This window comes from Homo sapiens, chromosome 19 (assembly GCF_000001405.40).
Source record: "Homo sapiens chromosome 19, GRCh38.p14 Primary Assembly".
Taxonomy (NCBI): domain Eukaryota; kingdom Metazoa; phylum Chordata; class Mammalia; order Primates; family Hominidae; genus Homo; species Homo sapiens.
In genome coordinates, this window is record NC_000019.10 from 7629759 (window position 1) to 7651849 (window position 22091).

The 22091-nt window shown below is 57.9% G+C and overlaps 3 protein-coding genes across 11 annotated transcripts, besides 8 other annotated features; 2 read left to right on the forward strand and 1 right to left on the reverse strand.

The window, feature by feature from the left end:
* On the forward strand, positions 35–2198 carry PET100 (PET100 cytochrome c oxidase chaperone). Of its 2 annotated transcripts, NR_033242.2 has the most exons (5): positions 35–102; positions 815–901; positions 1065–1088; positions 1474–1563; positions 1715–2198. NR_033242.2 is itself a non-coding variant. In NM_001171155.2 (4 exons), the coding sequence occupies exons 1-4, from the start codon at positions 76–78 to the stop codon at positions 1796–1798; spliced, it is 222 nt and encodes a 73-aa protein (NP_001164626.1). In that variant the 5' UTR covers positions 35–75; the 3' UTR covers positions 1799–2198. The 2 variants fall into 2 exon arrangements, 1 of the variants encoding a protein (NP_001164626.1); NM_001171155.2 differs by lacking the exon at positions 1474–1563.
* Positions 35–18115, forward strand: STXBP2 (syntaxin binding protein 2). Of its 5 annotated transcripts, NM_001414484.1 has the most exons (21): positions 35–102; positions 815–901; positions 1065–1088; positions 8968–9017; positions 9261–9342; positions 9973–10049; positions 10973–11051; positions 11142–11245; positions 11947–12095; positions 12276–12360; positions 12445–12575; positions 12671–12778; positions 13008–13065; positions 13225–13290; positions 13407–13487; positions 14856–14994; positions 15439–15548; positions 16491–16586; positions 17404–17489; positions 17596–17753; positions 17967–18115. In NM_001414484.1, the coding sequence occupies exons 5-21, from the start codon at positions 9270–9272 to the stop codon at positions 18050–18052; spliced, it is 1686 nt and encodes a 561-aa protein (NP_001401413.1). In that variant the 5' UTR covers positions 35–102; positions 815–901; positions 1065–1088; positions 8968–9017; positions 9261–9269; the 3' UTR covers positions 18053–18115. The 5 variants fall into 5 exon arrangements, 4 of the variants coding, with proteins under 4 accessions (NP_001401413.1, NP_001258963.1, NP_008880.2 ...); NR_073560.2 differs by lacking the exons at positions 35–102; positions 815–901; positions 1065–1088; positions 13407–13487 and adding exons at positions 7352–7428; positions 15121–15176; NM_001272034.2 differs by lacking the exons at positions 35–102; positions 815–901; positions 1065–1088 and adding an exon at positions 7352–7428 and having other exon boundaries at positions 10940–11051.
* Positions 79–128: an enhancer, noted in NCBI's record as "active region_13889". NCBI's record gives its function as "activates an Ori minimal core promoter by ATAC-STARR-seq in GM12878 lymphoblastoid cells {active_cell/tissue: GM12878}" and the evidence as "EXISTENCE:reporter gene assay evidence [ECO:0000049][PMID:35858748]".
* On the reverse strand, positions 1857–7248 carry PCP2 (Purkinje cell protein 2). 4 transcript variants are annotated; one of them, XM_024451346.2, is made up of 5 exons: positions 3649–3961; positions 3195–3379; positions 2958–3072; positions 2635–2759; positions 1857–2050 (listed from the first exon to the last, which is right to left on the reverse strand). In XM_024451346.2, exons 1-5 carry the CDS (start codon positions 3860–3862, stop codon positions 1931–1933), a joined length of 759 nt encoding a protein of 252 aa, XP_024307114.1. In that variant the 5' UTR covers positions 3863–3961; the 3' UTR covers positions 1857–1930. The 4 variants fall into 4 exon arrangements, with proteins under 4 accessions (XP_024307114.1, XP_006722702.1, NP_777555.1 ...); XM_006722639.4 differs by lacking the exons at positions 3195–3379; positions 3649–3961 and adding an exon at positions 6648–7248; NM_174895.3 differs by lacking the exon at positions 3195–3379.
* Positions 6898–7425: an enhancer, noted in NCBI's record as "H3K4me1 hESC enhancer chr19:7701542-7702069 (GRCh37/hg19 assembly coordinates)". NCBI's record gives its function as "activates a minimal SCP1, AML or CMV promoter by ChIP-STARR-seq in primed H9 embryonic stem cells {active_cell/tissue: H9 hESC(primed)}" and the evidence as "EXISTENCE:reporter gene assay evidence [ECO:0000049][PMID:30033119]".
* Positions 6898–7459: a biological region, named in NCBI's record as "H3K4me1 hESC enhancer GRCh37_chr19:7701542-7702069".
* Positions 7170–7459: a silencer, noted in NCBI's record as "silent region_9988". NCBI's record gives its function as "represses an Ori minimal core promoter by ATAC-STARR-seq in GM12878 lymphoblastoid cells {active_cell/tissue: GM12878}" and the evidence as "EXISTENCE:reporter gene assay evidence [ECO:0000049][PMID:35858748]".
* Positions 7426–7954: an enhancer, noted in NCBI's record as "H3K4me1 hESC enhancer chr19:7702070-7702598 (GRCh37/hg19 assembly coordinates)". NCBI's record gives its function as "activates a minimal SCP1, AML or CMV promoter by ChIP-STARR-seq in naive and primed H9 embryonic stem cells {active_cell/tissue: H9 hESC(naive and primed)}" and the evidence as "EXISTENCE:reporter gene assay evidence [ECO:0000049][PMID:30033119]".
* Positions 7955–8481: an enhancer, noted in NCBI's record as "H3K4me1 hESC enhancer chr19:7702599-7703125 (GRCh37/hg19 assembly coordinates)". NCBI's record gives its function as "activates a minimal SCP1, AML or CMV promoter by ChIP-STARR-seq in naive H9 embryonic stem cells {active_cell/tissue: H9 hESC(naive)}" and the evidence as "EXISTENCE:reporter gene assay evidence [ECO:0000049][PMID:30033119]".
* Positions 14306–14355: a silencer, noted in NCBI's record as "silent region_9989". NCBI's record gives its function as "represses an Ori minimal core promoter by ATAC-STARR-seq in GM12878 lymphoblastoid cells {active_cell/tissue: GM12878}" and the evidence as "EXISTENCE:reporter gene assay evidence [ECO:0000049][PMID:35858748]".
* Positions 19174–19223: an enhancer, noted in NCBI's record as "active region_13890". NCBI's record gives its function as "activates an Ori minimal core promoter by ATAC-STARR-seq in GM12878 lymphoblastoid cells {active_cell/tissue: GM12878}" and the evidence as "EXISTENCE:reporter gene assay evidence [ECO:0000049][PMID:35858748]".

Consider the following 22091-nt stretch of genomic DNA (forward strand, 5'->3'; position numbering starts at 1 on the left):
AAACACCAGTGAGCTTCTGTCTTGCTGGAGGGTCGGCTTTGGGCGGAACTGGCTTTGTTGACCGGGAGAAACGAGATGGGGGTGAAGCTGGAGATATTTCGGGTCAGTGGACACAGGAGTGGGTTGGGAGGCTGGGCAGGGGATCTTCCTGGATCTGAAGATGAGGTTGGAAATGGGGGGACTTCAAAGGAAGAGGGAGCTCCAAGGAGAAAGCTCTTAAGATTTGAGAGGAACCTTTCTGGTTGGAAATCCAGGAGAGGGGACGCTGGGCTGGGGGGGTTCTCGGATTTGGGCTTCTGGGTTTGGGGGCTGTGAGAGGGCTGGTCCGAGGAAGGACCTCAGAGAGGGGTGAGCTGAGAAGGGGGCTCTAAAGAAGGAAGACTTAAGATCCTGGGGGAGCTCTCGGGCTCGTGGTGGGTGGGTGTCTATGACAGGGAGATTCCTAGACTTCGAGAAGTGGAGTTGAAGAGTGACGCCTCCTGGGTTTGGGGGTGCTCCCGGGATCTTAAGTGGGGATGGGTAATGAGGTCTCGAGGAGATGCTTTTGATTGTAGCTGGGGCGTCTGTGTGTCTGTCTGTGTTTGAGAGGAAGACTCCAGCTCAGAGGGAACTTTCAGGAATGAGGCCTCCTGGATTATAGGAGTTAGGTTTTAGGGTGCGAGGTTTCTGTACCCTTGGTGGGAGTTCTGGGATTCTTGGGTCGGCCGTAACGAGGCGCTTCTGGACTCTGCAGTAGGATGGGTCCCCCAGGCTCTGAGGAGCCTCTGCACATTGCTTGGGGGGAGCTCACCTCACCCACCCTCTGCCATTCCAGATGATAATCTACCTCACTTTCCCTGTGGCTATGTTCTGGGTTTCCAATCAGGCCGAGTGGTTTGAGGACGATGTCATACAGCGCAAGGTGGGCATAAGAGGAGTGTTTGAGGGTTCATTCCAGGGGTGGGAGAGGGTGTGGGGCAGCAGTCTGCTGGGGACTAATGTCTGCCTCCCATAAGCCGACCCTGCCCTGATGTGGGGCTCTGGAGGCCTTTGGCTCGTGTCCCATTTGTGACTTTTCCTTACAGAGGGAGCTGTGGCCACCTGAGAAGGTAAGTGATCTCTTCTTCCTGCCAGAGGGATGGAGGAGGCTGGATTCTTGTATCCGGGATGGGTTTTAGATGAAAATTTTAGGCCAGGCGCAGTGGCTCATGCTTGTAATCCCAGGGCATGGGAGGCTGAGGTGGGTAGATCACTTGAGGTCAGGAGTTCAAAACCAGCCTGGCCAACATGGCGAAACCCCATGTCTACAGAAATACAAAACTTAGCCAGGCATGGTGGCAGGCGCCTATAATTCCAGCTGCTTGGGAGGCTGAGGGAGAAGAATCACTTGAACCCAGGAGGTGGAGGTTGCAGTGAGCCCAAGATCACGCCACTGCACTCCAGCCTGGGCAATAGAGTGAGACTTTGTCTCAAAAAGAAACATTTTACTCTCAGCCATGAGTAAGGAACCGAGAGCAGAGGAGTAGATGGTTTCCTTATTGCCTTCTCCTGGAAGAGTGAAGCGGATCCCACGCGGACCCCTTTGTAATTGGCAGGGGGCTTCCAGTGAAGACACTGAACCCTGAAGCCGTGGTCTGGGGCAGGGTGGTGGGAGAGGTGGGCGGGGGGGGGTGGTCCCGGCTCTGAGGTGTGTGCCCCTCCCCCCTTCCTGTCCCACCCGCTTCTCCACCCCTAGCTTCAAGAGATAGAGGAATTCAAAGAGAGGTTACGGAAGCGGCGGGAGGAGAAGCTCCTTCGCGACGCCCAGCAGAACTCCTGAGGCCTCCAAGTGGGAGTCCTAGCCCCTCCCCTGATGAAATATACATATACTCAGTTCCTTGTTATTCATTTAAGTGTTTTATTCTTTTATCAGTTTTTGGGGGCCGAGTGAGACCCAGGATGCCTCAGGCCCTCAGGGGGCTTGTGTCGGGGGCTGGGGGCTGCTGTTCCGACGGAAGCCGAGAGCGGTCGGGTCCTGAGGGGTGAGCAGGGGTTGGGGACTGAGGGTCCCAGCTCGTTTCTGTGCTCCGTCCTGTGGATGAAGAGGGGTCAGCCAGGGGGAGGGCTCAAGGGCAGTGCCGGCCACAGGTGGCGAACAATGGAGAGAGGGTGCAGGTAGCCACCGTGTCCCACCTCATTGTGAGCACTGGTCTATGTTTACCCTCAATATCTGCCATTTAGGGTGGCATTTGAGTGTGAGGTGGCAGGTCTTGGGGCCCTCGCTGGGATCTTGATCAGAACCCAAGCTTCGTGTATGTGTGAAGTCAACAGATGTGAGTATACAGATGTATATATCCTATGTGTGAGCTTACGTGACTTCCTCCCTGGGATACTTTCCTAGGAAGGGGTCCTATTTTCTCCCTTTGGCCTCCCCAGAACCTTCAGACTTGGGGGCAGGAGCCACAAGTTCCAGCCATGGGTCTTACACTAGCATGGCCCCTGTATAACCTTGGGCCCCTCTAGCCACTGCCTGGGCCTTGGTCCTCCCATCTGAAGTCAGGGCAGCGGATGGACAGAGATGGGGCAGGCCCTGTTCCCTCCTGGCTGGGGTGGAGGGCAGGATCGGAGAGCACTGCCTGGCGGGTTTCTCCTCGACATCGCCAGAACATCACCTACCTTGGACCCCACGGGCTGGAAGCCGGGCAGGCTGCTGACTGTCACACGTTGGTCATCCATGCGGCGGCCCTGGGTACTGGCCAGCATGTCCATGAGGCTGTCCATCTCGGGGGTGGGGTCGCTCTCTGCGTGGACGTTCACAGACTTGGGAGGACACAGCCGGAGTGGGGGCCCCCAACCCTACCCCTTCACCCCCACACAGATGCTTCAGGGTGCACAACCACCTCCCACATCCCGTGCCCCCAGGCCCTCCAGATGACCACTTGCCCTGCACTCCCACCCCGTTCACGCCCCATGGACAGCACCCCCGTGCCCATGCTCACGGCTCTTGGTGGTCTGGCCCGGCCCGGCTTGCAGTGAACAGCGCTGTCCCTCCATCCGGTCGCCCTGCACGTGGCTCAGCAGATTGAAGAAGCCCTCCTGGTCTGGGGAGCCCGCCTGGGGACAGACTCGCTCAGTCTGGTTGGCCCTTCAGCTTGGGGGCCCCTCCCCAAACTTCCTAGCCAGCTTGCTCACACCCTGACCCCGGGGCCTGCCGTCCCCACTTCCTCAGCTCTCACCATGGTCCCCGCCGATCCTCTCTGCAGAGCTGTTCTGAATGAGACATGAGTCTCCTTCCCAATCCCGGCCCCCGCCCCAGGGGCCCTGGCCAGCAGTGCCACTTCACGTGGTACCGCTTCAAGGGACAGGCTCCGATGCGTGTCCCGCCGTCCTAGATTGGGGCCTGATGAGTGTGGCCTGGGAGCTGGGACACGAATCAGGGAAACATGGCCCAGGAGCTACCCCCAGGTCCCAGCATCTCCCATCAATAGGGGTCCACACGGAGAGCCCTGCCCTCTGCCCTGGGGCCTGGCACTCAGACCCCCAAGCCCACCAGCCCCTTTCTACAGCCACAACTGGGTCAGGGGGTCCTAGGAGACTCACTCGTTAATTAGGTGCCCTACAAACTAGTCTTGTCAATCATGGGCTCTGAGACCTTGAGCTGGGGGTGGGGTGGGGGCAGGGCCCTCTCACCTCGGCACAGGGGCCTGAGCCTTCCTCCGTCTTCTCCTCCTGATCCATCATGTCCCTGGACTCCAGTCACTTTTCTGCTGGCCTCTGCCCCGGCCCAGTGCCAGAGAGGGCCTTTTAAACGTCCAGGACGTGGGGGTGTGGATTCCCCCCATCCCCAAATCCCCAGCTCATGCCCCATCTGCTCCCACCCAAGCTTAAGCCCCATAAAGATCATCCAGATAATTGTTTGCCCACAACGATGCTGGATCTGGCATGGTGGGTAGGGGGCAGGGCGACCTGAGCTTGGACCTCGCTGTGCCCAGCAGCAATGACTGGACCCCAGGGACTCTCAGGTGTGATGTCACAAAAGGCCTGAGCAGCATCCCCACAGTTGGAGAAGGGAGGCCAACAGTGTAGGGTGGTAGCTGGCTTAGGGAGGACTTGCAGGTGTCCCCACCCAGCCACCCAGGTTCCCCCACTGGCTCCTGAAAGGGCAGCTGCCACCTGCAGTCGGTACAGAAAAAGGAGGTTGGAGTCAAAGGCCCCTTCCCTCCCTCCCTCTCTGCACCTGCCTCAGACACCACCGGCCACCCTAGCTCCAGCTCTGTCTCCTTGGCAGCAAGTCAAGGGGTCTCCCAGCCACCCTTCCTTCAACTCACTGTCCCTGGAGCCTGGTTGCCTGCCCCAGACCCCAAAACAAGAAAGTCTGGGGTCTCCTGTTCCCACACCACCTAAATGCCAGGTTGAGCTATCTCCTCTCCTCTATCACCCTAGCCCCAGGTGGGAACAGGAGGCGAGACTCCCTGGGGACAGAGGCAGGCGGGGAGAGGACGTCCCTGCCTTTTCCCCCGAGCCACTGTGGCTTTCCCTCAGTGCCCAAGCAGGGGATACCACTGGGAGGTCCCCATCCCCTTCCCTTCCCTCCCCAAGACGCCTTTACGGAAACCAGTGGAAGTTTCATCTCAGAATGAATGGGCTGCACTATCACCACCTCTGCCCGAGCCTCCTCTGTTCCACAAAAGGCCAAGTTCACACTCTCTCCCTCTATGCCAATGAAGTGTCCCCCTCCTCAGTACGTGTATCCCTTTCCTAGGCCTGCCAGAACAAAGTGTCATAGACCAGATGGCTTAAAACACATAAGTTGACTTTTGTTATATATTTTTATATAGAGATGAGGTCTCACTATTTTGCCCAGGCTAGTCTCAAACTCCTGGGTTCATGTGATCCTCCTGCCTGGGCCTCCCAAAGTGCTGGGATTACAGGCATGAGCCACCATGCTGAGCCTTTAAAATTTTTTTTTAACAAATTTATTGAGCCAACGTTCCAGAGGCCACAGCCTGAAATGAAGGTGTTGGCAGAGCTGTGCTCCCTCTGAAAACCAGGTCTCAGGAGCCCTCCTTGCCCCTCCCTGGCTTTTGGCAGTGGCCTGCCGTCCTTGATGTCCTTGGCTTGTCACTGCAGCTCTTCACTCCCTGCCTCCGTGGTCACATGGCATTCTCCCTCTGTGTCCCAGTCTTCATATACCCATTTCCCCACCCCCCCAACCACCTACACAGAACCAGGCAGACATATAACTATCTTACAAGGACACCAGTGATATTGCATTAGGGGCCTACTCTACTCCAGTGTGACCTCATGCTCACTGCTAATATCTATACTAACCCCATTTCAAATAAGATCCTATTGTGGGGTATTGGGGATTAGTACTTCATATCTTTTGGGGGTTAGTGGTGGGGTGGCTGGCCCTAACAGCTCTCTGTCCCCCCAAGGGGTCAGGCTGAGAAGCTGGAGGCGGTCCTGGCTTCCATCCCCCCAGGATCTGGAGGGTTCCCCGCCTTCCCCTGCTCAAAACTCTTGAGAAGACAAAACCCAAACACCTAGGGGTTGTGGAAATGTTCTAAAATGGATTGTGGTAATGGACACACAACTCCAAAAATACTGAAAGCCATTGACTTACGCACCTTAGGTCAGCGAGTTGTATGGTATGTGAATTATATCTCAGTAAAGCTGTTACAAAAGGAGGAAGGGGCAGGGTGCGGTGGCTCATACCTAAAATCCTAACACTTTGGGAGGCCAAGGCAGGAGGATCCCTTGAGCCCAGGAGTTTGATACCAGCCTGGGCAACATAGGGAGATCCTGTCTCTTAACAACAACAACAAAATCAACCGGGCACGGTGGCGTGCACCTGTAGTCCCAGCTACTTGGGTGGCCGAAGTGGAAGAATCCCTTGAGCTCAGGAAGTCGAGGCTGCAGTGAGCTATGATCGTGCCACTGCCCTCCAGCCTGAGCAACAGAGCGAGACCCGTCTCTTTACAAAACAAAAACAAACAAAAATGGGGAGGAGGGAGAAGAAGGAAGAAAGGAAGGGAAAAGGAAAGGAAAGGAAGAAATAGCTCAAACTCCTACCTACGGTTGCCAACCGTCCTGGTTTGCCTGTGACTGTCCTATTTTTAGCACTGAAAGTCCTGCATCCTGGCACTGGGATGGGTCAGTCTGACCTTGTCCTACAGAAGTCTGGCCCCTGCTGCCCCCACCCTCCAGCCTTCTTAAGCTCGGGGCTCCTCCCTTCTCTACCTGGACATGCTGTGTGGCTGCTTCTAGAATCCATTTAGGGATAATGTCAAAAGGCTGCTTCTTCAGAGAGGCCCTCGGGGGTCATCCTCAGTAAAGTCCCCTCCCACCCCTACCTTCTGTGGCACTTGTTGTCACATTAGTTTATTTCCTTTAGGGCAGCATGGATCCTTTCCTATCTCCCCCAGACCTTCGGGTCTGATTCACTCCCTATGTCCCATGTAAGTGGCAGGGGGCTTGGTACCTTCATCAACACGGCCGAGCGAAGGAACCAGCTCAGACCAGCAAGAGTCTGTTTGCACACATACCTCGCACCTTAAATCGGAGACCTCATTTTGTATGGGTGCTGCTGGGGCTGTGCCTTCCAAGCGACAGGACACACAGCAGAAGCAGCTTCTGAAATTCCGAGTGTGTGTCTGTGTTTGCAAGCATTTGAGGGCGTCACTCACCCCATGTGTGTATCAGCATGTTAATTCGATTGTTGGTCCACGAGGGTAAGCGTTGCGCCTCCCGGAAGAGGGTAAGGCTGTGACAAATGCCCCCTGGGGACAGGCTCCTGGCTTGAACCCAGCAGGCTCACTCGTCGTGGCCTTGGATTAGGGATCCCGCTAAGCCTCGGTTTCCTCGTCGGCACCGCAGTCCAGGTCGGAACATTGGGCAGGACTGAATGAAAATTATGTCCAGGTGCCTGCACACAAGAGGTCTCCAGGCCTCCTGAATCCATCAAAAGTTATCCAAGACGGCTGCTGCTGCTGCTGCTGCCTCTAAACCCTGAAGTACAGAAGGCAAGTGGGTCAAGATCCCAGGCCCAGACAGTGGCGGCCCGGTGGCATCGAGTGGGTGCCGTGTATCTTGCAGGCACAGAACCTCCCGGGGAAGATGGAGGGATTATTGCCCTGCGATCCTGCTTCGCACGCAAGCCAGGAAGTGTGTGTCTGAACTCCCATCTGTGAGCGTGTCGTCGAGGTGTGCACCTCCAGCGACTTCGTGCTCGGCAGCGCGGACGCACCTGCCCGTCCTCCCCGCCAGGGACTCAACTTCCTGGGCCTGGGCGAGAACCGACGGCGGGGAGGGGCCAGGTGCGCAGGGGGCGGGGACAGGGCCCGCGGGGCGGGGTCCACGTGGGTGACGCGCGGGGCCACGCCCCCACCTTGGGACACACCCGGAAGCGGCGGCGGCGCCCCTCGGGGAAGATGGCGCCCTCGGGGCTGAAGGCGGTGGTGGGGGAAAGTGAGTGCCTCTCCGGGGCCGGGCTCTGGCGTCCGGTGTGGGACGGGGGTCGGGGACGCACGGGCTCTGGGATCCTGGGTTTCATGGCGGCTGGGAGTTGGGGGCCGGGCTGGGCGTCCGAGCACCTGACCCTCGAGGGGGCGGGCGGGGACGGGTTCCCAGCTGGACGCCCCTGCTCTCCGGTGCCAGAACAGAACAAAATTGGGGGGCCGGACTCCGGGGACCCAAAGGGGACGGGTAGAGTGTGGCGGAGGCTGGGGCCCGGACTCCTGGGCCTCCTAGGGTGCCTGCCGGGGGAGGAGGGCACAGCTGGATGCCCACACTCTAGGATCTCTTAAGCCGGGCAAAGTTCAGGGGCTGGATTCTTGGGGCCTCCTAGGGCTCTGGTCAGCGACCCTAGGTGCTGTGAGCGCTCAGGGGACGTGTCCAGGCCCCACAGGGGTGGTGTAGGGGATGTCTTCCTCCTTGCCCCATTTCCAGGAGCGCCTTGCAGCTGGAGGACGCAGGCGTCCAGGCCTCACCGGCCCCGGTTCTTGGGGGAAGGGTGGAGGGCGCCTCTTCCTCCACCCCGGGGAGTTCCGGCCTCAGCTGCTCCTTCCGCCCTGGCCGTCTTGATAACAGTGGACATGACACAGTGGACGTGGCTGGGCGGGGCCACCCCGTTACTTCTCTCCACTCTCTCCTCTAGGCAGGGCGGTCTGTAGCTCAAACCCCTTTAATTGGGGGAGATTAGAAAAAAGTGATTCCATTTTACAGATGAGGAAACTGAGACCGGAGGTCAGTGGGATAGCCTCAGCTAGGCATGCCTCAGAGCTGGGAACCAGGGGTCCTACATTTTAGACCAGGTTGGGGGGACTGGCTGAAACCCTCACAGCAGGAATACTTGAGGTAGCAGGTGGGGAAGCCGAGAGCCTGGCGCTAGAGGCAGATAGAGCTGTAGATGATCCCGGTTCTCCTCTTTTCATTCACCTAAAACATGTTTATCGAGTGGCACCTTTTGCCCCAGCACTCTGCCACTTAGACACTCAGGATGCGTAGGTGAGTTACATGTTGCCTAAGAATCTGTTTCCCTGTCTGTAAATTGGGGGTGACCCCAGAAGCCAATTTGCAGAACTGGGGGCTAAAAATAAATGATTCCTGTGCCGTGTCTCACACCTGTAATCCCAGCACTTTGGGAGGCCGAGGCAGGAGGACTGCTTGAGGCCAAAAGTTTGAGACCAGCTTGGGCAACATAGCGAGACCCCATCTATACAGAAATAAAAATAAATTAGCTGTGGGTGGTACATGCACCTGTAGTCCCAGCTACTCGGGAGGCTGAGGCAAGAGGATCGCTGGAGCCCAGGAGTTGGAGGCCGCAGTGAGTTATGATCACACCACTGCACTTTAGCCTAGGTGACAGAGTGAGATCCTCCTCTCTTAAAAAAAAAAAAAAAGTAAATGGGAATTAAGATGGGGGTTCAGCCCCAAGGCTGAGAAGGCTTGGGGCAGTGGTGGGACCAGAGAACCAGCATTCTGACCCCTCCCCTCCCTTCCCTGCAGAAATTCTGAGCGGAGTTATTCGGAGTGTCAAGAAGGATGGGGAGTGGAAGGTAGGGGTGAGGCAGATGGCTGGGTACCCAGAGGCAGCTCATCATCAGGCCTATGGGGAAGACCCTGAATGTGGGACCCCCAAGAACTGCCTGTCCACATGGGTGGAGTTGGGTGAATGGGTTCTGGGTCCTCCCACCCAGCCAGCCCTTGAAACTGCCCCTCCCACTGCCTTGGCCCCTTCTGGGGCCAGCTGTGGCCTCTTCCGCCTGCTCCTCCATCCATCTGTCCATCCATCTGGACAGGTGCTTATCATGGATCACCCAAGCATGCGCATCTTGTCTTCCTGCTGCAAAATGTCAGATATCCTGGCTGAGGGCATCACCAGTGAGTGAACGCGTCCCCAGTGAGATGGGACCTGAGCGTGGGAACCCCTGACTGTGCCCCTCTCCCAGGGTTCAGCCCTTGAGTGTAGGATCCCCTCAAATCGTCCAGAACTCCCAAGTACGCAGCTCCCTGCACGGACAGCCCGGATCATGTGACCAAATCCATTCTTAAACCTTGCAAGCTGACTGCGGGAGCCCATGGATTGCAGGCCTCCCCTGCAGCACTCCCTGGCTGCAGCCCCTTCCTGACCGTGCAGCTCCCTCGTGGAGCCCTGTGTGGGACTCCCAGGGTGGACTCTGGATGTGGGGTCCCAAGAATGCAGAGCCTTCTATGGGTGACCCCAGGTGGTGTCCCAGTCACTTTGCCATTGAGGGATAGGTGCTGAGGGAGCCTGTCCTCTCAGAACCTCAGTCTCCCTGTCTGTAAATTTGGGGAACCCAGTTGGCTGCACAACCCCTGCAGAACCCTGTCGTGTGGCTCTTAGCTGGTGGTCCCTAAGTGGGTTTCTCCTGCAGTCCCTCCTAAGCATCCACCCCTCCTCCCCAAGCCTCCAACCCCCCACACCTGAGACTCCCCACGTGGCCCTGCCTGGATGCCACCCACCTGTGTCCCTTCCTCTGTTCCTACTAGTTGTTGAAGACATCAACAAACGGCGGGAACCCATTCCCAGTCTGGAGGCCATTTATTTGCTGAGCCCCACGGAGAAGGTGCCTACATGAGTGAGCGTGTGTGTATGCGCGTGCATGCGTGTACATGTGCATGTGTGTGTATGTCTGCATGCATGTGATTGCATGTGTGCATGTGTATACGTGTGCATGTGTCCATGTGTATGTGTGTGCATGTGTGTGCATGTGTGTGTGCATCTGTGTATGCATGTGTGTGCGTGTTTGCATGTGTGTCTATGTATGTGTCTGTGTGCATGTGCATGTGTGTGCGTCTGTGTGTGCATTTGTGTGTATGTGTGTATGCGTGTGTGTCTGTGGGTCTGTGTGTGCATTTGTGTCTGTGCATGTGTGTATGCGTGTGTATGTATGTGTGTGTGCATCTGTGTGCATCTGTATGTGTGTGTGTGCGTCTGTCTGTGTGCATGTGTGTATGCGTGTGTATGTATGTGTCTGCGTCTGTGTGTGCGTCTGTGTGTATCTGTGTGTGCATGTGTGTATGCGTGTATATGTATGTGCATCTGTGTGCATGTGTCTATGTATGTGTGTGCATCTGTGTGTGCGTGTGTATGCGTGTGTGTATGCGTCTGTGCATGTGTGTATGCGTGTGTGTGCGCATCAGTGTCTGCATGTGTGTATATGTGTGTATGTATGTGTGCGCGCGCATCTGTGTGTGTGCATGTGTGTATGTATGTGTGTGCATCTCTGTGTGTGCATGTGTGTATGTGTGTGTGCATCTGTGTGTGTGTGCATGTGTGCATGCGTGTGTATGTGTGTGTGCGTGCGTGCATCTGTGTGTGTGCGCGTGTGCCCATGTGGGTGCGACACTAGTGTGCATTTGCACATATACATGTCCCCGTCCGTCCATGTTTGCACATGGTGGCAGATGGGGGGTGGCTGGGAGGCCTAGGCAGCCAATGAGCCTAGGTGTGCAGGCTCAGGCCCAGAGAGTGATCCACCTTCCCCAGTCGGTTCAGGCCCTGATCAAAGACTTCCAGGGGACCCCGACTTTCACCTACAAAGCGGCCCATATCTTCTTCACCGACAGTGAGTGAGGAGAGCCTAGGGTGTTGGTGGGTGGGGCAAGGAGGTGTGGGGGCTGCTCTGGCCTGATGCCCCACTCCTGCCTCACCCCAGCCTGCCCCGAGCCCCTGTTCAGTGAGCTAGGCCGCTCTCGTCTGGCAAAGGTGGTGAAGACGTTGAAGGAGATTCACCTTGCCTTCCTCCCCTACGAGGCCCAGGTACGGCCCGGGCTCATCCTGGGCAGGGGGTGGGGGTTTGTGACCAAATGTCCCCTGTTCCCTCAGAAACAGACACTGAGGCTGGGCGCAGTGGCTCATACCTGTAATCCCAGCGCTGTGGGAGGCCAGGGCAGGAGGATCACTTGGGGCCAGGAGTTTGAGACCAGCCTGGGTACAGAGCAAGACCCCGTCTCTTAAAAAAAGAAAAAGAAAGAAATTAGCTTGGCGTGGTGGCGTGCACCTGTAGTCCTAGCTACTCATGGGGCTGGGGTGGGAGAGTCGCTTGAGCCCGGGAGGTCGAGGCTGCAGTGAGCTATGATTGCACTGCTGCCCTCCAGCCTGGGCGACAGAGCGAGATCCTGTCTCAAAAACATACATAAAGTAAAATTTTAAAAAGGGGAGGTACCCACAGAGTCCAAGGAGCTCTTGCCTTGAGTTCTATCCCACTAGGCCCTTGCAGGGGGCAGCGTAGAGCGCACCGCGGGGTTGTCCAGCCAGCTTAAGGGACACGGGCTGGGGTATTTATCCACTGACTCCTGCAGGCATGGGTTTAGGGTTGACCTGGGCCTGCCTCCAATTCGGCAAAGCAGGCTTCAGGGACCAGGGACGGCTCCCAGGAGGTGCAGGTGGCGGCAGCGGGAAGCGGGGCAGGTGTGCACCTGCAGCGGCAACCCTGGTGCTTCTGTCCCCTCCTCGCCCAGGTGTTCTCCCTCGATGCTCCCCACAGCACCTACAACCTCTACTGCCCCTTCCGGGCAGAGGAGCGCACGCGGCAGCTCGAGGTGCTGGCCCAGCAGATTGCCACGCTGTGCGCCACCCTGCAGGAGTACCCGGCCATCCGCTACCGCAAGTGGGGACCCCACCCAGCCCCACCCCGATGCCGACCCCCCCTTAACCGCGTGCAACACCTAACCTTTAACCTCTCTTGTGACCCCAGCCCCGGCCCTACCCTGGCCCCTGACTCTCACCTTCAAACCCATCCTTGACCCCATCCCCTGATGATGTCCCCCGTGTCTGACCTCCCCGCCAGGGGCCCAGAGGACACAGCCCAGTTGGCCCACGCCGTCCTGGCCAAGCTGAACGCCTTCAAGGCAGACACTCCCAGTCTGGGCGAGGTGAGGGGGCGTGCTTGGGAGGTGAGGGGCAGCCCCAACCGGCTCAGGGTCAGTGCCTCATTCCTGCCCTAAACCCCACCCCAGGGCCCAGAGAAAACCCGCTCCCAGCTGCTGATAATGGACCGGGCAGCTGACCCCGTGTCCCCACTACTGCATGAGCTCACGTTCCAGGCCATGGCGTATGATCTGCTGGACATAGAGCAGGACACATACAGGTCTGCAGACTTGGAACCCGTCCCCACCCTTGCCACTGACCTGGTTCCCCAGTCCTCAGCTCCCCTGACCCCCAGGCTCCCTCCTTCCTCCCCAGGTATGAGACCACCGGGCTGAGCGAGGCGCGGGAGAAGGCCGTCTTGCTGGACGAGGACGATGACTTGTGGGTGGAGCTTCGCCACATGCATATCGCAGATGTGTCCAAGTGCGTGCACACGGGGACCGGATCCCCCCCCCACCGCCCACTGTGGGCCTGGTAGCGGCCTTGGGATCCCTGGCTGCTGCCAAGTCTTTGGCCCTCATGAGCACCCCTCGTGTGACTCCAGACTGGCCTCCAATTTCACCCCACCTCTCCCTGTCCCCCCTGAGTGGGCTCACCCATGGCCTGTGGCTCCTCTCCCCTCACTCTCACCCCCGCCCACCCTCATGGCCAGGAAGGTCACGGAGCTCCTGAGGACCTTCTGTGAGAGCAAGAGGCTGACCACGGACAAGGTAGGGGCGGACCCAGGTCACCAAAGGCGCTGGTGGAAGGAAGCCCCCCTCCCCATGGGCGCAGGGCCACAGCCTGGATTTCGAGCCTGGACTGAGACCCAGGTGGGCACTGCCTGGCTTCGCCCCCCAATCCCTACCCTCTTCCCCCTACTTCCCCAGGCGAACATCAAAGACCTATCCCAGATCCTGAAAAAGATGCCGCAGTACCAGAAGGAGCTGAATAAGGTGTGCTCGGGTGGGCAGGGAGCGGGGACACCTCGGCCCCTCAACCCCATGCTCTGTCTGCGTTCTGCCTTGACTCAGCCTTTGTTATCCCCCAACCCCCACCCTGCACCCTGCAGTATTCTACGCACCTGCATCTAGCAGATGATTGTATGAAGCACTTCAAGGGCTCGGTGGAGAAGCTGTGTAGTGTGGAGCAGGTGGGGCAGGGCTTGCGGGGGGCAGGGGTGATGGTCCTGCCAAGGCGGGGTATTGGGGAGGGGCTGAACTGTAGAGATGGGGGGTTCTGGGGGAGGGGCAGGGCTTGTGGAGAGGTGGAGGGGCCTTGGAGAGAGGTGGGACCTGGTGGGGAAGGAGTGGGTCTTGTGGAGAAACGGTCCTAGGATGAGGGTGTGGCCTGTGCATAGGTGGATGGGGCTTGGAGAGGTCAGACTTGGGTGAGGGGCAGAGCCTTGGACAGGTGGTCCCAGGACAGGAATGTGGCCTATTCATAGGTGGGTGGGACCTTGGAGAGGTAGGCAGGGCCTTGGAGAGGTGCGACCTGGGAGAGGAATGGAGCCTTGGAGAGGTGGGACCTGGGTGAGGGGCAGAGCCTTGGAGAGGTGGGACCTGGGAGAGGAATGGAGCCTTGGAGAGGTGGGCCCTGGGAGAGGGGCGGAGCCTTGGAGAGGTGGGACCTGGGTGAGGGGCGGAGCCTTGGAGAGGTGGGACCTGGGTGAGGGGTGGAACCTTGGAGAGGTGGGACCTGGATGAGGGGTGGAACCTTGGAGGGGTGGGACCTGGGAGAGGGGTGGAGCCTTAAGAGAGGTGGGACCTGGGAGAGGGGCGGAGCCTTGGAGAGGTGGGACCTGAGTGAGGGGTGGGGCCTTGGAGAGGTAGGAGCTGGGAGACAGGTAGAGCCATGGAGAGGTGGGATCTGGGTGAGGCACGGGGCCTTGGAGAGGTGGGACCTGGGTGAGGGGTGGAACCTCGGAGAGGTGGGACCTGGGTGAGGGGTGGAGCCTTGGAGAGGTGGGACCTGGGTGAGGGGTGGAGCCTTGGAGAGCTGGGACCTGGGTGAGGGGTGGAGCCTTGGAGAGGTGGGACTTGGGTGAGGGGTGGAGCCTTGGAGAGGTGGGACCTGGGTGAGGGGTGGAGCCTCGGAGAGGTGGGACCTGGGTGAGGTGTGGAACCTCGGAGAGGTGGGACCTGGGTGAGGGGTGGAACCTCGGAGAGGTGGGACCTGGGTGAGGGGTGGAGCCTCGGAGAGCTGGGACCTGGGTGAGGGGTGGAGCCTTGGAGAGCTGGGACCTGGGTGAGGGGTGGAGCCTTGGAGAGGTAGTCTCAGGATAGTGGTGTGACCTGTGTGTAGGTGGGTGGGGCACTGGAAAGGTGGGACCTGGGTGAGGAGCAGGGCCTGTGGAGAGACTGTCCCTGGACAGGGGTGGGACCTTGAGAGACCTGGTGCTGAGATGAGGTAGGACCCAAATGTCCTCTTGCCGAGGATCCTGGGGATGTCCTTGGCCCGCCTCTCCCATCCCCTTCCCTGACACATAGCGGCCGGTGGACGGCTGACCCCATGCCCGCAGGACCTGGCCATGGGCTCCGACGCAGAGGGGGAGAAGATCAAGGACTCCATGAAGCTGATCGTTCCGGTGCTGCTGGACGCGGCGGTGCCCGCCTACGACAAGATCCGGGTCCTGCTGCTCTACATCCTCCTTCGGAATGGTGGGTGGGGGCTGCAGGGAGTTGGAACGTCCCCATTTGCCAGCGTCTCCCACGATCCTGGGAACTGCTGAACCCCACAGCTCTCCTTGGGTCATTTGCACTCACCGGGCTCACCAACCCCCACAGCTACCCCTCTGGACCCGGGAACCCTCCTCCATTGGCTTGGGGATTCCTCCACTGAGGTGAGGGCTCCCTGCTAACGTAGAAACCCTCACATCTGTGATTCCTATAGATGTGGGGCTCCCTCAGCTCATCTGGAGGAGCCCCTGATCTACCCCCTCCAGGTTTCCCACTCTTGCTCACACTAGCACAGGGTACTGAGGCCCTCCCCACTGCAAGGTTCTCTCATCAGAGTCCTGGGAGCTCCTCAGCCCACCCCAAACTCCCCTAAACCTGGGAGCTCACCTGGCCGCCGCCTCCACCCTGCCCATTCCCGTCCCCCAGGTGTGAGTGAGGAGAACCTGGCCAAGCTGATCCAGCATGCCAATGTACAGGCGCACAGCAGCCTCATCCGTAACCTGGAGCAGCTGGGAGGCACTGTCACCAACCCCGGGGTACGCCAGGAGCGGGCATGGGGGGACCCTGGGAGAGGGTGCGGATCACAGCCGGGGCTCTGCAAGGCAGAGGGCCATTGGTGCACAGGCACGGTGTGGTTCCTGGCGTGGTGTGGTTGCTGGGAGGCCAAAAGCAGTGTTTCGGGTCTGGTCTGGGGCCCAGAGGACACTGGGGCCTCTCCCAGTCCCAGCTTACACAATAGGCAGGGGAAGTGAGACATGGTCGCTGCCAGGCTGGTCCTGGCAGTGGTGCAGTTGGGAGCGGGTGGTCTGAGTGCTAGAGGCAGGGAGTAGGGTCCCCAGCATGGGGGCTACACCACATTGTCTATCTGGGCTCCCAGGGGTCTCTGAGGGTCCCCCGCACCCATCCAGCACCCACACACAGCCATGTGTGTGCTTGACTCTTGGGTCAGCCTCTCCTGTCTCTCTCTGGCCCTGTGCGTCCCCCTCCAGGGTGCCCTCACCCCGTCCCCATCTCTCCCCCATCCCTCATCCATCTCGCTGTGCACTGTTTCTCCATATCTCTCTCTCTCACCCTTCTCTCTGCCTTCCCCTTTCTCTCTGTTCTCTGTCTTGCTCCCCTCCCCTCTCCGTCCCCCTTCTGTCCCCATCTTCCTCTCTCTGTTTCCTGCTTCATCTCTTGTCTCTCTCTTTGCCTTCATACTTTGTCTCACTGCTTCTTATCTCTTTGCCTATCTCTGCCTCTGTCTTTGTCTTTCTCTGGCTCGCTCTCTCTCCCTTTGGCTTTCTCTCTCCGTCTCTCTCTGGCTCACTGTTTCTCTCTCTCGCTTTCTTGCTGTCTCTCGCTCTCTCTCGCTCTCTGTTCCACTTCCCCATCTTTGCCTGCCATCCCCCACCCTACCAGCCACACCAGGCGCAGCCCCTCTGTGACCAGCCTCCTTCCCCTCAATCCCCCTGCTGCCCTCCCTGCCCTGCCTGTAGGGCTCGGGGACCTCCAGCCGGCTGGAGCCGAGAGAACGCATGGAGCCCACCTATCAGCTGTCCCGCTGGACCCCGGTCATCAAGGATGTAATGGAGGTACTGGGTGGCAGGTCAGGGTGGGGGCCAGCCCTCCGCATCGGCTGGCGGCTCAGCCTCCCTCCTGCTGAGGTGCTAAGCCTCAGGGCTTAGGGGAAAATGCTCATTGCTGGCATTCCCTTGGCACCGATCTGCTCTGCTGAGGGGGGCACGCCAAGCCCGCAGCTGAGGAATTGGGGTGACAGCGGGGCCTGTGCTGGGGAGCCTCACTTCCTCCCCACCTGCCGGCTGCCTCCGCTATATCTCTCTAGTCTGTTCCCCTGTCCCGCAGGAGTGCCCCTGAGCCCCAGCCCTGGCCTTCCCAGGATCCCAGGGCAGCACCATCCAATGGCAATGGGCCTGGGGCGGCTTCCTGGCTTCCTCCTTGTCCCTCTAAGAGCCCCGGCCCCTCTTTCTGCGTGGGGGCCAGAGACCTGGGCCTCCTCATCCCCATGGACCTTGAATACCTGGACTTCTGGGGCTCTGAGGGGCTGAGAGCCCAGACACTGGGTTCCCCAAAGGGCTGGGGGTATTGACTGATGGTCCCCAAGGGCCTGGAGGCCCAGACTACTGGGTTGCCGAGGAACTGTGGGTTTAGACTTCTGGGTACCCAAGGAGTTATGGAATTAGATTCGTGGGTCCCCAGTGAGTTATGGATCTAGATTTCTAGGTCCCCAATGGACTAGAGGCCTAGACTCCTGGGTCCCCCAGAGGCAGGAGGTGGAGATGCTGGTTCCTGTCTGCCAGGATCTTGGCCCCTGAATACCCCGTGGGGGGCACTCCTGACCCCGGACCCCATGCCTGGGGTTCCTCCCCTAACCTGCCTCTCGGCCGCCAGGACGCCGTGGAGGACCGGCTGGACAGGAACCTGTGGCCCTTCGTATCCGACCCCGCCCCCACGGCCAGCTCCCAGGCCGCTGTCAGGTGAGGCCCCGGGGCCGCCCCCGCCCACGCCTGGGTCTGTGTTAGGTGGGCGGCCTGGCGGCGGTGAGGGCCTCCTGCCTGGACTTTCTGCCCCTGCCCTGCACAGTGCCCGCTTCGGTCACTGGCACAAGAACAAGGCTGGCATAGAAGCCCGGGCGGGCCCCCGGCTCATCGTGTATGTCATGGGCGGTGTGGCCATGTCAGAGATGAGGGCCGCCTACGAGGTGACCAGGGCCACCGAGGGCAAGTGGGAGGTGCTCATTGGTAAGTCACCAGGACTGGGACCCTGGGGTCTGGGGCTTGGGTTCCCGGGGCCTGGGCTTGTACCTTCTAGGTGTCTGGACTCCAGAGTCCTTGGAGTCAGGGACCTGGTTTGCTGAGGGACAGGGACAGCCCCACACCAGCCGGGACCGGGAGCCTGTCAAAGACGAAGGCAGCGCCCCCCAACATCTTCCCCAAACCTCTGCCCCTGCACAGGCTCCTCACACATCCTCACCCCGACCCGCTTCCTGGATGACCTGAAGGCACTGGACAAGAAGCTGGAGGACATTGCCCTGCCCTGACCCCTGGCCCCGCCCCCTACCCCTCCCTTTCCAGAGAAATAAACTCTTCCCGTCGCTCTGCCAGCCAGTGCCTACCTCACCTTCTTATCAAGGGAGTCCCTGGGAGTTGTGCTGAGCCAGGCCTGTGCCCCAGGCCCCACCAACCCCTATTATCCTCTCAGAAGGAGAATTAGCCTCTCCCTGCCCCTGAGGGCATCTCAAGCCCTCATGGAGGTTAAGAACTTGGACTTTTGGCAGGGCACGGTGGCTCACGCCTGTAATCCCAGCACTTTGGGAGGCCAAGGCGGGAGGATCACTTGAGGTCAGGACTTCAAGACCAGCCTGGCCAACATGGTGAAAACCCATCTCTACTAGAAATACAAAACAACTAGCTGGGTGTGGTGGTGTGCACCTGTAGTCCCAGCTACTTGGGAGGCTGAGGCAGGAGAATCACTTGAACCCAGGATGTGGAGGCTGCAGTGAGCCGAGATTGCCCCTTTGCACTCCAACCTGGGCAACAAAGCGAGACTCCGTCTCAAAAAAAAAAAAATTGGACTCTCATTTGAATATCAGCTCTAAGATATTCTAGCGGTGAGGCCCTGACCAACTTCCGGGGTTCCCAATCTAAAAACAGGGAGCCCAAAATAGCAGCTGCTTTGCAGAGGAGAGAACAGAGATAGCGCAGGAAGGCTGGTGGCGTGCAAGCATGACAGCTGCTGCTACCCCATTTTCACTGGAACCATTTTGGCTGCTCCGTTAATATTGTTATTAAGCAGAATGGACCCTGGAACTCCAACCCCCCTAGAACTGTTCCAAGGGGACCTGTAGGCATACGATGCCAGGAGTTGTGTTCAGCTTCTGCTGTATTCATGTGAGGCACACAGCAAACGCTCCCTGCTTTCTCCTCCCAGCCCCACGGGGTTCACAGAGACTCCTGACTGCAGGACTTATCAGGGCCTTCGGTGGGTGTATCTGTTTGCTAGGGCTGTCATAACAAAGTACCACAGACTAGGTGACTTAACAGAAATTGCCAGGCACCGTGGCTCATGCCTGTAGTCGCACATTGGGAGGCCAAGGCAGGTTGATCACTTGAGGCCAGGAGTTCAAGACTAGCCTGGGCAACATAGTGAGATCCTGTGTCTACAAAAAAATAGAATTAGCTGAATGTAGTGGTGTGCACCGTGGTCCCAGCTACTCAGGAGGCTGAGGTGGGAGGATCATTTGAGCCTGGGAGGCAGAGGTTGCAGTGAGCCAAGACCGTGCCAGTGCACTCCAGCCTTGGGTGACAAAAGCGAGACCTCCATCTCAAAAACAAAACTATAATCCCAGCACTTTGAGAGGCTGAGGCAGGTGGATCACCTGAGGTCAGGAGTTCAAGACAAGCCTGGCCAACATGGTGAAACCTTGTCTCTACTAAAAATACAAAAATTAGCCAGGTGTGGTGGTGGACACCTGTGGTACCAGCTACTTGGGAGGCTGAGGCAGGAGAATTACACTACGCCTCCTTCGGGAGGCGGAGGTTGTAGTGAGCTGAGATCGCACCGTTGCACTCCAGCCTGGGCAACAGAGCAAGACTCTGTCTCAAAGCAAACACATTTATAGTCTTCTGTTTCTAGAGACTGGAAGTCCAAGATGAAGATGTCCACAGGTGTGACTCCTTCTGAAGCTTCTCTCCTTTCCTTGTAGACAGCTGTGTTTTCCCTGTGTGTTCACACAGTCTCCTCCCCCCGCCCCAGTGCATGTCTGTGTCCTAATCTGCTCTTCTTACAAGGAAACTGGTCATGTTGGATTAGGGCCCACGCATATGACCTCATTTTTACTTAATTATTTCTTTAAAGATTCTATCTCCAAGTATAGTCACTTTCTGAGGCAGTTGCGGGGCAGGACTTCAGCATAGACATTTGTGGAGAGGACACAGTTCAGCCCATAGCACTCAAGTGAGGTGTGAATCTCACAGCACCAATAGAACAGGAGAGGCCGGGCGAGGTAGCTTACACCTGTAATCCCAGTGCTTTGGGAGGCCTAGGTGGGAGGATCGCTTGGGCCCAGGAGTTTGAGACCAGCCTGGGCGGCATAACACGATCCTATCTCTACAAAAAAATTTTAAAATTAAATTTTTTTAAAATTTTTTTATGGGCATGGTGTCTTGCACCTGGGGTCCAGTTTACTCAGGAGACTGAGGTGGGAGATCGCTTGAGGCTAGGAGTTTAAGACCAGCCTGGGCAACATAGCAAGACCCCATCTCTACAAAAAATAAGAAAAATTAGTCAGGCACGTGATGGCACACGCCTGTAGTCCCAGCTGCTCAGGACTTTCAGGTGGAAGGATTGCTTGAGCCCGGGAGGTTGAGACTGCAATGAGCTATGATCATGCCACTGCACTCCAGCCTGGGTGGCAAGGTGACACCCTATCTCAAAAAAAAAAAAAAAAAAGAAAAAGGAAAAGAAACCTCTCTGGGGCACAGATATACAGCCAGCCACATGAGTAATCTGAGGCAAAAGGGGCTGTGGGAGCCCATATCACATCTAATCCACCCAGACTGGGGGCAATCAGGGAAGGCTTCCTAGAGGAGGCAGCATTTGCATAGAGAATGAAAATGAAGGGGGCGAAGGGAAGGGAGGGGAGGGCAGAGCAGAAGCCAAGGCCAGAGAATGCAGGAGGCCCCTGAGGAGCTGGAGGGGAGGGTACTGACCTGCAACCCAATCTGAGAACCACGTGGAGGTTCTGGTGAGGCCATGGTGAGGGTTTTGGTCCCTGCTGAGGCCATAGGACATCATAGACAGGGTCTGAGTTGGGACAGGTAGGGACCCATGTCTCATGTTGGCAGTGAAATTCTCACTGCTGGAGTGGGTGCCTGGGGAGGGGGCAGAGGGTGGGGAAGCATCCTCTTCAGAGGTAGAGCCTCTCTTACCGCCTGTGCTCAAGCGATCCTCCCACCTCAGCCTCCTGAGTAGCTGGGACCATGAGTGCACATCACCAAGCCCAGTTAATCTTTTAATTTTTTGTAGAGACTGGGTCTGGCTATGTTGCCCAGGCTGGTCTCCTGGGCTCAAGCGATCTGCCCACCTCGGCCTCCCAAAGTACTGGGATGACAGGCGTGAGCCACCGTGCCCGGCCTCTCTCCTGATTTTGAGGTCACAGATCCTTTTGAGAATTCAGGGAAATCTAAGGACACTCATCCCAGAAAAACTGCACACACAATTTGCAGGTGGGGGCTAAGGAAAATGCAGCCCCCTCTGATTCAGCAGTTCCACAATTAGGATTTATCGGAATCTCCCACCAGGGCAGGGAGATGGATGAGGAGAGTTGTGAAGGGGATGAGGTGTGGGGAAGAAAGTGGGTCGGCTGTGGACCCCTGGGGTCCGCCTGCCCTGGATATGCCTTTGCAGGGCCTCAGCAGGGACGCGTTTTAACTTACGGGAGGTGCAGGGAGTGGGAGGGAGGTGGTTTTAATGTTTAAAACTTAAGCTCAAGGTCGGGCACAGTGGCTCACGCCTGCAATCCCAGCACTTTGGGAGGGCGAGGTGGGAGGATTGCTTGAGGCCAGGAGTTTGAGGCCAGCCTGGGCAACATAGCAAATTCCTAAATATATGTATTTTTGAGACAAGGTCTCACTCTGTTGCCCAGGCTGGAGTGCAGTGGTGCGATCTCGATTCACTGTAACCTCTGCCTCCTGGGTTCAAGCGATTCTCCTGCCTCAGCCTCCCAAAAAGCTGGGATCACAGACGTGCGACACCATGCCCAGCGAATTTTTGTACTTTTAGTAGAGATGGGGTTTTGCCATGTTGGCCAGGCTGGTCTCTAACTCCTGGGCTGAAGACCTCCCACCTCAGCCTCCCAAAATGCAGGAATTAGAGGTGTGAGCCACTGTGCCCAGCCAATCTCTACAATACTCTTTTTATTTTATTTTATATTATATTATATTTATTTATTTATTTATTTTTTGGAGATGGAGTCTCGCTCCGTCGCCCAGGCTGGAGTGCAGTGGCATGATCTCAGCTCACTGCAACCTCCGCCTCCCCGGTTCAACCGATTCTTCTGTCTCAGCCTCCCGAGTAGC

Coding starts and splice junctions, on each gene's coding strand:
- PET100 (NM_001171155.2), top strand. CDS start 76: ATGGGGGTGAAGCTGGAGATATTTCGG. Junction 103..814: donor TGAAGCTGGAGATATTTCGG/GTCAGTGGACAC, acceptor CTGCCATTCCAG/ATGATAATCTACCTCACTTT. Junction 1,089..1,714: donor AGCTGTGGCCACCTGAGAAG/GTAAGTGATCTC, acceptor CTCCACCCCTAG/CTTCAAGAGATAGAGGAATT.
- PCP2 (XM_024451346.2), bottom strand. CDS start 3,862: ATGATCTTTATGGGGCTTAAGCTTGGGTGGGAGCAGATGGGGCATGAG. Junction 3,073..3,194: donor GAGGATCGGCGGGGACCATG/GTGAGAGCTGAG, acceptor GTCTGTCCCCAG/GCGGGCTCCCCAGACCAGGA. Junction 2,760..2,957: donor GGGCCAGACCACCAAGAGCC/GTGAGCATGGGC, acceptor ACGTCCACGCAG/AGAGCGACCCCACCCCCGAG.
- STXBP2 (NM_001272034.2), top strand. CDS start 7,392: ATGGCGCCCTCGGGGCTGAAGGCGGTGGTGGGGGAAA. Junction 9,343..9,972: donor CCTGGCTGAGGGCATCACCA/GTGAGTGAACGC, acceptor TGTTCCTACTAG/TTGTTGAAGACATCAACAAA. Junction 16,587..17,403: donor TCATCAAGGATGTAATGGAG/GTACTGGGTGGC, acceptor CTCGGCCGCCAG/GACGCCGTGGAGGACCGGCT.